Source organism: Homo sapiens, chromosome 6, assembly GCF_000001405.40.
Source record: "Homo sapiens chromosome 6, GRCh38.p14 Primary Assembly".
In the NCBI taxonomy this organism is placed as follows: domain Eukaryota; kingdom Metazoa; phylum Chordata; class Mammalia; order Primates; family Hominidae; genus Homo; species Homo sapiens.
The window spans coordinates 163,028,388-163,042,668 of NC_000006.12; the positions used below are offsets into that span (position 1 = coordinate 163,028,388).

General features: G+C 42.3%; 1 protein-coding gene across 21 annotated transcripts in view; it reads left to right on the top strand.

Annotated features, from left to right (window-relative positions):
• Positions 1–14,281, top strand: part of PACRG (parkin coregulated) — a 588,369-nt gene that overhangs the window by 301,256 nt on the left and 272,832 nt on the right. The gene's annotated exons all lie outside the window — the stretch shown is intronic.

A 14,281-nucleotide genomic window follows, 5' to 3' on the forward strand; every position in this document is an offset into this window, starting at 1 on the left:
GATCATTTTGCACCTCCATGGATGGGTAGTGTCAAATTCAGGTTCTAACACAATCAACCTTTAAGATCATGCAGCCCTGTAGGACAGAGATAGCCATCCACAAGGGCTTGCTTCTGGATCTCAGGTGGCACCACTGCTTTCTGTTCTGCTAATGAGTAAAACTGGCTCCATACAAATACATATTAAATATGATTCACTGAAATATGAAAAATATATTTCAAAAAACAAATATTTAAATATTCGTTTTTTCATATATAAAGTTTAAATGATCAAAAATGACATCAATAATATAAAGACATTGGTAGTGCTTTACTTAATACGAAACTCTAAATCTTATCAGGACTGTGTGCAGGCTAATCTCAATGATCTCAATTATTTTTCTTGTGCCTAGTTTTGTCACTCTAATTCCAAGTCTTGCTTTTGAAGTAATATAACAATTTTCTTATAAATTTGTTGGAAGTATCATTTTACAACCCCCAACTGGGGAGGGCAGGAAAATGCCCCCCAAACACATTCACATCCTAATCCTGGAGCCTGTGAACATGCCGTCCTACACAGCAAAAGGGACATGGCAGATGCGATTACGTTAACAGGTCTTGAGATGGGGTGATTAGCCTGGATTAGCCAGGTGGGCTCAACAGGAGCACAATCTCTAGTCCTTACAAAGAGGAGGCAAGGAGGTCTCAGTTAGAGAGAGGAGATGTAACGGTGGAGGCAGAGGTTGAGTGGTGTGCTTTGTAGATGGAGCAAGGGGACATGCCCCAAGGAATGCAGGCAGCTCCTGGAGGCCGAAAAGATAAGGAGACACATTCTCCCCTAAACCTCCAGAACCAGAACCAGCCTGAACCAATGCAGCTCTGCTACCACCTTGATGTCAGCCTGCGAGACCCATCTCAGACTTGTGACTTCAGAATTATCAGATACACTTGTGTTGTTTTAATATACTAAGTTTGGTGTAAGTTGTTACAGCAGCCATAGGAGATGAACCCCAACAGCTTCAAGCCAGCCTCTCTGAGCACCTCATGGCCTGGCTACCTTTTTAATTACTCTAGGTTACCATCTGTGGCAGACATTTTCAGTGGCCTTACCCAGCACACTTCTCCCTTTCCTCCAGGGGATAAAGATAGTGTTGTGCTAAACAAATCTGCGTTGCCAGCCATGTGGATTGCATCAATTTGGAAGGAACTTTCAACTCAGTGGTGGAAAGGAGAGGGATTGTTTCTGAGAAGCTTTTCTACCTCTTGAGACAAAAGGAAAGTTTCGTCCCTTTTTTTGCTTCTGGATGTTGTCATGTCTAGCTGTGATTCCTGGAGCCCCTGCAACCATTCTGTGATTGGAAGGGGAGCTGCAGACCCTCTGCAGACTACATGGGGAATGTCTCGGAGCAGAGGGTACTTGATGCCATTGCTGAACCACTCAGTCATCCAACCAGCTGTAGAGCTGCTCTAGGGACTTCCTGATTCTTGCTGCTGAACAAGCTGATTAATACAACTGCATAGGTACTTGTTGGGCATAGCTTTCAGGCCTTCCAGGAGTAAATGAGGAGCAGGAGAAAAGTAATTGTGAACAAGAGAGGGTGAAAGGAAAAAAGGTTCATATAAATCATAGATACCAGAAACTTCATACAATGAGGAGGAAAATTACTTCCAGTAACATCAATGAAATAAACCTTTTTATCTATTTCATGGTTTGTATTTTTATATTTCCTTTTATATTCTGTTCTTTTTACTCCACTGAGTGAAGGAGATAAAGTCTTGTTCTGATGTGAAATGTACCATCAGAGTCACAAGGGCATCACTGGCATATGAAACTATACCTGTGCCTTACCTGGGCAGGAAGGAGACTGTTTCACTCACCTTGTGGATGAGCATGGCCAGTCCACTTCTATGATACATACATATGCATACCTTTTTATATGAGAAATAGATTTCTCTAGATATATAGAATTAGCCAAAATTCTATCGAGATACAGTAAGTTCCAACATAAAGTTTCTTCCAGCTTATGAGAGCTGATTGACACATCTCTTCCTAGTGATTTCAAGTTGGAGGCTTGAAATTTATACCACAAAAATCAGCAGCTACCGCTCATCAGAGCTCCCCTTCCCAGAGCCAGTTGTTATGTCACAGGAAAGGGGTCCCCTTCCAGACCCCAAGAGAGGGTTCTTGGATCTCACACAAGAAAGAATTCAGGGTGAGTCCACAGTGCAAAACAAAAGTAAGTTTATTAAGAAAGTACAGGAATAAAAGAATGGCTACTCCATAGACAGAGTAGCCCTGAGGGCTGCTTGTTGCCCATTTTTATGGTTATTTCTTGATGATATGGTATACAAGGGGTGGACTATTCATGCCTCCCCCTTTCAGACCATATAGGGTAACTCCTGATGTTGCCATGGCATTTGTAAACTGTCGTGGCACTGGTGGGAATGTAGCAGTGAGGACGACCAGAGGTCACTTTCATCGCCATCTTGGTTTTGGTAGGTTTTAGCCAGCTTCTTTACTGCAACCTGTTTTATCAGCAAGGTCTTTATGACTTGTATCTTGTGCTGACCTCCTATCTCATCCTGTGACTTAGAATGCCTGAACCATCTAGGAATGCAGCCCAGTAGCTTCTTCAAGCTGAATAGGCGCAATGATATTCCTGCCTAACTTCTAGGGTCTCTTGTGTTCAGGGTAGAGAGGAGCTCAGTCAGAAAGCATCAGTATGGCAAGGGCCATTCATGACTCTTGAGTTCCAATAAGAGGTGATATCTGGAAGATTAATAAGTACTCAGTTTAAGAAAATGTTGAGTAAGCTTATTCTGCATTCTTACTCAAAGAGTACAGCAGCAATATATTCTACAACAATAAAGCCAAATAAGTAAAATTATCCCAAGTAAACTAAATTAGAAGGCTTTCCATGAACTAGGCAACTGTTGGAACCAAGCTGGTAGGGGGTTGCTAGATCATTCCAGTACATGCCCAGAATTAGAACACTGATTTAGATTTTTACATTACCCATCCCTCTTGTTTCTTCTGAGCAGCAGTCAGAGATCACTGGTTGGTTTGCAGGAATAAGCACGGTTAGCCTAAATTGCAAAAACAAACTTAAAAACAACTGATGAGACTAGAATCTAATAAGAAGTGTACCATAGTTCTTACAACATAACTTTTTTGTTTGCAGTTTCCCATTTTTACTAAAGACAAATCAGCAAGACAAATTTGCTTTATTATACTTGGCCTGATTATTTGTATAAAGTACAACAAGGAAAATTATTTTTTACATAAGCTCTTTTTAAATTGGCTTTGATGGAACTCTATTCCATAGAAGAAATCTTAGATAAGACTTTTTTAAAGCTGAGCCCAGCCATGGGTTTCTACCCTCAAATACCTCTGAGTTGGGTAAATTCCTTTTTCTGAGATCCCAAGATAACTTGGGGCTCCTGGACCTGTTAGAAAGTGACATTCTTTACTTACCACAGGTCAGAAACCTTATACAGGGACTGTATAATAGGCAAGGTATGAGGCCAGTTTTCCAAACAGCTTTTATTGGCTCTACAAGTCAAGTTTGACTCCTTAAACGAATGCAAACTATTCCAGTCAAAGCCCTGGTAAAATAACCAGTTTCTCCAATTGTGTCATGTTGCAAAGAAAACAGATTCTTATTGCACTTATGCAAATAACTGTATTGCCATAAATTAAGAATATTCACAAATAGTTTCCAACTTCTGGAGAAATCAGATAGAGAGAAACAAATATGCTCCAGATTTTGTTTACAGGAGTATAGTTTACTTAATTGCTAAAAAGCTGTAAATAGCTCAAAAGTTTTCTTGACTCTGAAAAGCAAAACAAAGGATCAGCAGCATTTTAAGCAAAAAGTTAAAAAATATTACTTTAGACTTTCATTAGTTTAGTTCATGCAGTTAACTTCTGTTTGATATTCATGAACATTTCAGCTCTCTATGAGAGTTCTGAAAGTTTTTTCCTCTATTCTAATGTCATAATTTCCAAAGTTAGCAGAAACTTGCATTCAAGAGCACCTGTCAAAGCCCTATAGCTGATTACAAACCACCTTTGGAAGATGATCAAAATAAGACAATTGTTTGTGGATGACAAAAGATGTTAGAACAGCCACAGTCAAAAACACGATTAACAAAGAAATTTGGTTACCTTTGTGGCATACAATAATTCAACACAATTATAATTATTACTGATAATGTACACTAAGTCATATCAGAATTATAAGAGTTTTTTATAATTTTAGAAGACATACCAATAACATTTATACAAATACAGCCCAAAGAAAACCAATCATTTTATATTTGACAGTGCTTCCTGTGTGACTTTTATACCAAATAAGCCAAATGTCACTGTTGCATTAGTGCATTATTGATGTCAGACCCAATTCTTAGTAAACCTTATAGATAAATATATCCAATCTTATTCAGTTTGACCATAAGGTAAGATTCTTATAAACCTTTTATAACCCTTTACAAATTTTTGTGAAAGAGCAGATCATAAGCAGGTTTTTGCTCTAAGAAAAACCTATTATGCTTTTATTCCAATGTTTAGTTTATGGAAAAGCTGAAAAATGCCACTTTAATTTTAGTCAATGCAGACTCTCTTACAATTAATTTTTCACAAACCTTCCATAACTTGCTTAAGCCTTCAGCTTCATCCTAACTTAAAACAATCCATTAATCCTTTAATCTAGGCCAAAAAAATTACATTTCCATGCCTTTTTATAATCTTTTACCAAAAACACATTTCACTTTTCTTATACACCTTGTGTATAGAACTGTGTCTTCACTAGTCTCAAATACATGTTATCCTGTTAACTCTTAGCAGCTTTTACTTTTGATGAAAAACCTGGTTAGTAAGCAATTTTATTTATGTATTAGATGTGGGGCCTAGGACCCAGACAGAAGTGCAGATAAGGTCTGACTCTCTCCAGCGTTTAACTTCACATGTCTCAGGCCTTACCTAGAATCTAATGCTCCAAAATAAATGGAACAGTTTTCAAAAGTCAAAGAAACAGTGTATAACCTTAAAGCATTTAGTAAACTTAATATTTGATCTGCATAATGTAGACCAAATATTTATAGTTCTGAAGATATTTTTATTTTATGAATAATCTTTAAAACTCTATTTCCCAAAGATTACTTAAGTCACATGAACTAAATAAAAGGCATTACACTTTTTACTTTTCTGACAAAATATTTGATTTAAGTGCTTATTATTAAACCAATTAATTAAAGCTCTTTCATTTATAAACATCATACACAGAATACATATAAATACATAGAAAGATAAAAGATAGAGGACTCATTTTCCAAGCCAGGAATTGAATCCTGAACCCAGGCCACCATTGTGAAAAGAGAAAGCATGGCCACATGGTTACAAGGTCAAGCCCCCAAGGACATAGAAGACAAGAGGGAAACCTCATCCAGTGTTTTTTCAGGGACCTGTAGCAAAGTTTAGAACTGACCAGTTTGCTGGGTCACCTTGAACAGCAGTCTTACAGGTGTCCTAAGCCCATGTTCTATCCCTAGGGACCCCTCATTGTGACAGAACAATAAAGAAAGACACATAAAGCACACCAGATTGGCTACAGCTTAAGACTAGCCTCACAAATCCTTTTTTCCATTAATCAAACTTTACAGAGGAGATAAACAGTGATTTTTACCATTCATTCAACCAGTTTGCACAGAGAGAGAAACAGCGGAAAAGCATTGCCTGCAGCAGGGTGGGAAGGCAAGGCGCTCAGGGAGGCCAGAGAAAGACCCACCCATTGCAGCAACATTGAAAAGTTCAGGCAGCTGCTTGTCAGTAGCAAAGGGATCTTTTCCAGCAGTCTCATCAGCTCTCAAGTTTCCCCTTTTAGGGAAGAAAAAGCTCCCCATGTCCCACAATCCCGTACATGCCTAATTCTGTCACTCACAGCTATTAGCAAAGAGCAAGGCAGATTATTCCAAAGAGAATAGCAGTTAACATCCTGTAGTACCAAACCCGTTCTTAGCTGAGAGGGACTTTAATGAGAGGGACTTTACCAAGAGGGGCCTCTAAACCCCTGAATCTTAGAAGGCACTCTAACCCTCCTAAATTGGGCTTCTAACCCAAGGTTGGTCAAGCATCCGTGCCTTTTATGAAGAGGGGCCTCTAACCCACTCATTCTTAAGAGAGACTCTAACTCCCCTAAGTTGGGCCTCTAATTCAATCCCATTCTTTACCTGGCTATATGCACCCCACTTACCTGAAGGCCGCCAATCAGTGCCATAGTCTCTTTCCTTTGGGTTGGGGGATCTCCTCAGCATCGTCCCTTCCATGTTCACCAGAAAGATGTCACCAGACACCACCACTTACCTAGTTAGCCTTTGGGTCCCTTTATGGTAGCCAGAAAAATGTTACAGGGAAGGGGTCCTAATCCAGACCCCAAGAGAGGGTTCTTGGACCTCGCGCAAGAAAGAATTCAGAGTGAGTCCACAGTGCAAAGCAAAAGCAAGTTTATTAAGAAAGTAAAGGAATAAAGAATCGCTACTCCATTGACAGAGCAGCCGTGAGGGCTGTTGGTTGCCCATTTTTGTGGTTATTTCTTGATGATATGCTAACAAGGCGTGGATTATTCATGCCTCCCCCTTTCAAACCATATAGGGTAACTTCCTGATGTTGCCATGGTACTTGTAAACTGTCATGGTGCTGGTGGGAGTGTAGCAGTGAGTATGACCAGAGGTCACTCTCATCGCCATCTTGGTTTTGGTGGGTTTTAGCCGGCTTCTTTACTGCAGTCTGTTTTATCAGCAAGGTGTTTATGACCTGTATCTTGTGTTGACCTTCTATCTCATCCCATGACTTAGAATGCCTTAACTGGGCCGGGCACAGTGGCTCATGCCCATAAACTCAGCACTTTGGGCGGCTGTGGCAGGTAGATCACCTAAGGTCAGGAGTTCCAGACCAGCCTGGCCAACATGGTGGAACCCTGTCTCTACTAGAAATACAAAAATTAGGCTGGGCACGGTGGCTCATGCCTATAATCTCAGCACTTTGGGAGGCCAAGGCAGGCAGATCACGAGGTCAGGAGATCGAGATCAGCCTGGCCAACATGGTGAAATTCCGTCTCTACTAAAAATACAAAAATTAGCCAGGTACGGTGGCAGGTGCCTGTAATCCAGCTACTTGGGAGGCTGAGGCAGGAGAATCACTTGAACTTGGGAGGCGGAAGTTGCAGTGAGCCTAGATCATGCCACTGCACTCCAGCCTGGGCGACAGAGTAAGACTCCATGTCAAAAAATAATAATAATACAAAAATGAGCCAGGCATGGTGGTGTGTGCCTGTAATCCTAGCTACTTGGGAGGCTGAGGCAGGAGAATCACTTGAACTCGGGAGGTGGAGGTGAGCCGAGATCATGCCATTGCACTCCAGCCTGGGTGACAAGAGTGAGACTCTGTCTCAAAAAAAAAAAAAAAAAAAAAACAAAGAATGCCTTAACCGCCTGGGAATGCAGCCCAGTAGGTCTCAGCCTCATTTTACCCAGCTCCTATTCAAGATGGAGTTGCTCTGGTTCAAACGCCTCTGACAGTTACACATTTGCCAGTACACCACTGGGAACAATGAAAGGAAATACTTGGTTTCTACTCTCATCGATGATTTTAACTTTAATAACTTTTGGTATTGCCTTATTTCTAATCAAAATGTAATGACATGACTAATATTTTAATTTGCTAAGTCAGTCTGCTCAGATCTGCTGAATTGATCTGCTCAAATTAATTGCTAATGCTAATAGTATGTTGCAAGACTGAAGGTTTAACCACTTGAAGCATGCAAACTTATTTTGTGGATTTTTAAAACTTATTTTATCTCTCTATATGTTAAAACTATATAGACTATCAGAAATTGGCATTAGGGAATTATTTAGCTCTCTCATTTTCCATAGTTCCAGGCCTTATAAAGAGCCACACTGTGAGTACAGACAGTACTGAATCTGACTCACAGCCGCATTCTGGAAACTGCTAGGCTGCATATTGTGGATCATAACACATAACCCTGGAATGAGGCCAGATCTAATAAAACTAATAAGCTGCGCCTTGTTTGACACATTTCATGAATTGAAAGTGCAGGAGCCTAAATGAAATCAAAGGCCCCTTTCAGTTGGCAAAGAACAATGAGCCTAAATAAGTTAGGATTGATGAGTGGGCAATTCAATCACCTCCTGCCTTTGGGCGAGTCATTTTACCCTAAATGGGATGCTGGTTCTCACTTGTGAATCAAAAGGGGATTGAAATGAGGGATTTAAAGTCACACAAAATGACTTGTTATCCCAGATGACTAAAGCCAGGAGGTCTGAAACCAACACTTGCTTGATGTGTTTTGCAGAAATTTCCACACACTAAAGTAGAGGACACTTGATCCAGAGAGGGTGGAGTGAATTAACTAAAGAGCAATTTATTTACTCTTTTATTTATCCATCCATCCATCCATCCACCTATCCATCCAGCTATCCATCCATCCATCCATCCATCCATCCATCCATCCATCCATCCATCCATCCATCCATTCACCCAGGTCTCTGTGACAGACCCTGAGCCATGCTAAGTTCTGGGCCAGATATAAAGCAGAAATAAAGAAAGATAGACCTAACGAGAGAGGCGAATTGTAAACAAGTGTGTGTGTGCATGCATGTGTGTACATGTGCCTATATGTGGTGTTGGGAACAAATGCCTCAATGTGCAAAACACTGTAACCCTCTTTGTCATCCGTAACTGTTCTCTTCTTGCTTTGGAGATTGCATCTCCACTCATGAAATCTGGGAGTGGCAGAAGAGAAGGAGGCATCTGAAGCCCGTCCGAGGGTCTCAGGGCTTCACTTCCCTTACTCCCTTCTCTCCCCAGTTGACATCACCTGGGTGTCAGCAGACGCTTAGTTGGCTTCTGATGCAGAGCAGAGTGTCTGCAATCTGCCTCACGTTGTCCTCTCTTCTCACTCCTACAAATGTTCGGCTGAGCTCCAAGGTCCTCTTCACCTGGCCCTTGGCTGTGGGCCTCCTCATTGTATACCTTCTTGAGGTTGCCATGGTTAGAACCTGTCTTTGGTCTGTTCTCTTAGCATTCATAGCACCTGCTGACTGTTGCAGGTTTGTGGGTGCTGGCTGACTCCCAAAGCTCAGCTCACACCAGTGCTCCTGAGCTGCATCTGCCATCCTTTCCCTGGCTTTGAGCTGGTCACTGTCAGGCTCTGCTGTGACCTGAAACTTCTTCGGCCCATGCCCTGAGAAACAAAGTACAGCAGGGAACAACTATCCTCTCGCAACATACTCGGGCACCCCAGGATTTCCCTCAGTCGTCTCCGGTTACCTACAGCACAGACGCATGTGCACATGCATGCACACACACACACAGTTTCCACCCTGGAGGGGAGGGTCTGGGACTGTACTGCTGGCCGCTTGCTCTCCACTCACCCTGTCTCTCCTGCCTCTGCTGCCCCTTCCTGTCTGGGAGGCACTCCCTCTGGCTTCCCTACTCCAACTAGGAAGACAAAGGAAGATTTACTGAATAGGTAAATATTTGGGTACCCACTTAATGATTATTCATGTAATTATAATATACTACTTCTAATGCTTTTATAGTAAAGTGGCAATAATAATGATTAGCAAGTACCAGGCAGTGTTCTAGATGGTTTACATGAATTAACTAATACATTATTTACCATAGGCAGCTGATGTATGTACTGTTATCATTTCCATTTTAATGAGGAGACTGAGGTGAGTTGCCCAAGGTCCTATCACTAATTTGTGGCAGAGGCTGGGGCAGGATTTGGACTTAGGCTCCAACATGTACACCTTAACCACTATTATGTGGAAAGGATGCAGTATGATTTCATAAAGAATAAAAAGATGAACATCAAAATGGAAAAACTGGAGAAGTACTCCAGGCATACAGAAGAGCAGGACACATCTAGCAAATATTTGGTGTATTTGGAACTGAAGATGTGAGGGTGAAATGTTAGAATGTGAAGCTGGAAAGAAAATGGGGACAGATTCTGGAAAACGGAGTACAACACAGTGAAGCGTTGAGGATAGACCCTGCACACAGCCAGTGAAGGGCCTTTGGTAGATGAGTGACATGGACAAAGTATTTTTAGAAGGGAGTGTCTGGCTGCAACCTGAAGAATGAGCCAGAGAGGAGAGAGACTGCTATCCAGAGGTCATTTGAGAACTGGCTCATTGGTTAATTAAGTCAACAAATATGAGGTGGCCTCTGTCTCATGAATTGGTATGAAATGTTATAGAGCAAAAAAGAATGGATGGAATATGCCATCCAGGGCTCACAAGTTAGTGAGGGTGACAGAATATAAACAAATACATAAGCATAATAAATGCCCTCATAGATCTCTACGCAACAGGCACTGCTGTTACAGAGGGTTTAATTCTCCCTAGAGAGGACAGGAAGGGCTCTCTGAGCTGGGTGCAAAGGCATATCCTATGGGAATAGGAAACACATAGAACACAGTTACATGACTTTAGGTTTACAATTCCATAAAATTGTGTGTTTCAGGTGCCTGTTATACTACTAGTCCTGAATAGAAATGAAATATTTTATGAGTTTGCATATAAAATATCCTAGTTAACTGATATGGTTTAGATCTATGTCCCCACTCAAATCTCAACTCAAACTGTTATCCCTGTGTGTCGAGGGAGGGACCTGGTGGAAGATGATTGGATCATGAGGGCAGTTTACCCCGTGCTATTCTCATAATAGAGAAGGAGTTCTCACGAGATTTGATGGTTTATTGAGATTTTATGGTTTAAAAGTGGCAGTTTCCCCTGCACTCTCTCTCTCCTGCTGCCAAGTAAGATGTGCCTTGCTCCCCCTTCAGCTTCCACCATGATTGTAAGTTTCCTGAGGCCTTCCCAGTGATGGAGAACTGTGAGTCAATTAAACCTCTTTCCTTCATAAATTACCCAGCCTCAAGTAGTATCTTTATAGCAGTGTGAGAACAAACTAATACAGAAAATTGGTACCAGCAGAGTGGGGTACTGCTATAAAGATAACCTGAAAATATGGAAGTGACTTTGGAACTGGAAAACAGGCAGAGATTCAAACAGTTTGGAGGACTCAGAAGAAGAGAGGAAAATGTGGGAAAGTTTGGAACTTCCTAGAGACTTGTTGAATGGTTTTGACCAAAATGCTGATAGTGATATGGACAATGAAGTCCAGGCTGAGGTGGTCACAGATGGAGATGAAGAATTTATTGGGAACTGAAGCAAAGGTCACTCTTGCTATGCTTTAGCAGAGAGACTGGCAGCATTTTGCCCCTGCCCTTGAGATCTGTGGAACTTTGAACTTGAGAGAGATGATTTAGGGCATCTGGCAGAAGAAATTTCTAAGCAGCAAAGCATTCAAGATGTGGCCTGGCTTTTTCTGAAAGCATTCAGTTATATGTGTTCACAAAGAGATGGTTTGATATTGGAACTTATGTTTAAAAGGGAACCAGAGCAGAAAAGTTTGGAAAATTTGCAGCCTGACCATGTAGTAGAAAAGAACAACCCATCTTCTGGTGAGGAACTCAAGCTGGCTGCAGAAATGTGCATAAGTAATGAGATGCCAAATGTTAATAGCAAAGACAATGGAGAAAATGTCTCCAGGACATGTCAGAGATCTTCATGGCAGCCCTTCCCATCACAGGCCTTGAGGTCTAGGAGGGAAAATAGTTTCGTGGGCTGGGCCTAGGGCCCCACTGCTCTGAGCGGCCCCAGGATATGGCATCCTGCATCCCAGCTACTTCAGCTCCGGCTGTGGCTAAAAGGTGACAAGGTACAGATCAGGCCATTGCCTCAAAGTGTGTGAGCCCCAAGCATTGGCAGTTTCCACAAGGTTTTGGGCCCGCAGGTGCACAGAAGACAAGAGTTGAGGTTTGGGAGCCTCTGCCTAGATTTCAGAGGCTGTATGGAAACATCTGGATATCCAGGCAGATGTCTGCTGCAAGGGCAGAGCCCTCATGGAGAATTTCTGCTAAGGCAGTGCAGAAGGGAAATGTGGCATTGGAGCCCCCATACAGAGTCCCCACTGGGGCACTGCCTAGTGGAGTTGTCAGGAAAGGGCAACTGTTCTCCAGGCACCAGAAAAATAGATCAACTGACAGCTTGTGCCATGTGCCTGGAAAAGCCACAGCCATTCAAGGCCAGCCCGTGAAAGCAGATGCAGGAAGTGTACCCTGCAGAGTCACAGGGGTGGAGCTGCCTAAGGCCATGGGAGCCCACCTCTTTCATCAGCATGCCCTGGATGTAAAATATGGAGTCAAAGGAGATTTTGGAGCTTTAAAATCTAATGACTGCCCAGCCAGTTTTCAGACTTTCATGGGGCCTGTGGCTCCTTTGTTTTGGCTAATTTCTCCTATTTGGAATGGGAACATTTACCCAATGCCTGTACCCCCATTGTATCTTGAAAGTAACTAAGTTGTTTTTTATCTTACAGGCTCATAGGTGGAAGGTACTTGCCTTTTTTCAGATGAGACTTTGGACTTGGACTTTTGAGTTAATGCTGGAATTTAGTTAAGACTTTAGGGGACTGTTGATAAGGCATGATTAGTTTTGAAATGTGAAAAGGACATGAGATTTGGGAGGGGCCGGGGCAGAATAATATGGTTCGGCTCTGTGTCCTCACCCAAATCTTATCTCAAATTATAATCCCCATACATCAGCCGGGTGCAGTGGCTCATGCCTGTAATCCCAGCACTTTGAGAGGCCAAGGCGGGCGGATCACGAGGTCAGGAGATTGAGACCATCCCAGCTAACATGGTGAAACCCCGTCTCTACTAAAAATACAAAAAATTAGCTGGGCGTGGTGGCGGGCGCCTGTAGTCCCAGCTACTTGGGAGGGTGAGGCAGGAGAATGGCGTGAACCTGGGAGGCGGAGCTTGCAGTGAACCGAGATCGTGCCACTGCACTCCAGCCTGGGTGACAGAGCAAGACTCTGTCTCAAAAAAAAATAAAAATAAAAAATAATCCCCATACATCAAGGGAGGGACCTGGTGGGAGGTGATTGGATCATGGGACCAGTTTCTCCCATGCTGTTCTCATGATAATGAGGGAGTTCTCATGAGATTTGATGGTTTACAAGTGCAGTTTCCTCTGCGCTGTCTCTCTCCAGCCACCATGTAAGACACGCCTTGCTTCCCCTTAGCCTTCTGCCATGATTGCTAGTTTCCTGAGTCCTCCCCAGTCATGTGGAACTGTGAGTCAGTTAAATCTCTTTCCTTCGTAAATTACCCAGTCTCAAGTAGTATTTTATAGCAGTGTAAGAATGGACTAATGCATTGACCATGTTCATTGTGCAATGAAATGGGTATTCAGCAACCATATACTCGAGTATTTTATTAACTCCCAAACGAAGACAGAATAATCCACATATTCAGCAGCTTGATTAAGACTCATAGGAGGCAGGGGATTTTAAGTAGCAAATCAAGCACTGCCCTGTCTTCACAGACATGCAAACATATTCTGTTTTGTTTTGTTTTGTTTTGTTTGAGTTGGAGTTTTGCTTTTGTTGCCCAGGCTGGAGTGCAATGGCATGATCTCAGCTCACTGCAACTTCCGCCTCCCGGGTTCAAGCGATTCTCCTGCCTCAGCCTCCTGAGTAGCTGGAATAACAGGCATGCACCACCACGCCTGGCTAATTTTGTATTTTTAGTAGAGACGGGGTTTCTCCATGTTGGTCAGGCTGGTCTCAAACTCCTGACCTCAGGTGATCTGCCCACCTCAGCTTCCCAAAGTGCTGGGATTACAGGCTTGAGCCATGCGCCTGGCCACACATATTGCAGCTGGAACGTGGTGGCATAGCAGTCTCTATGTAAGTGGCCATGGAAGATCACAACAAAGGGCAGCAGGGCACAAAGTCCAGAGAGCCAGGAGCAAGGGGAATTGGTGATGCTAGAAATTTAGAGCTGGAAAGAGCAGAAAAAAGAGCATCCTAAATAGCGATGCTTGGTCTTCTCCAGCAGTCATGGAGGAGTCAGGGTTCACTGTGAGAAGAGAGACACCATTTCCACAAATTGTCTAATGAGAATCTGGAGAATGACCCTCTTATTCTCTGTGGATTTGAATTTTCTCTGTAGGCTTCAATGAGTTAAAGAAAATACTCTTCAAACTACATACTAAGAAGTTCAGTCTTTCTTATGGCAAATAAAGAAAACCTAGTAACTTTTTAAAACTCTACTTTATTATTATGACTTGAGATGTTTGTTTCTAAAATTACAACCCAGTGGACTGGCTGTACATTTTTCTATGTCATTTGTATACAATCTAAAAGGTCT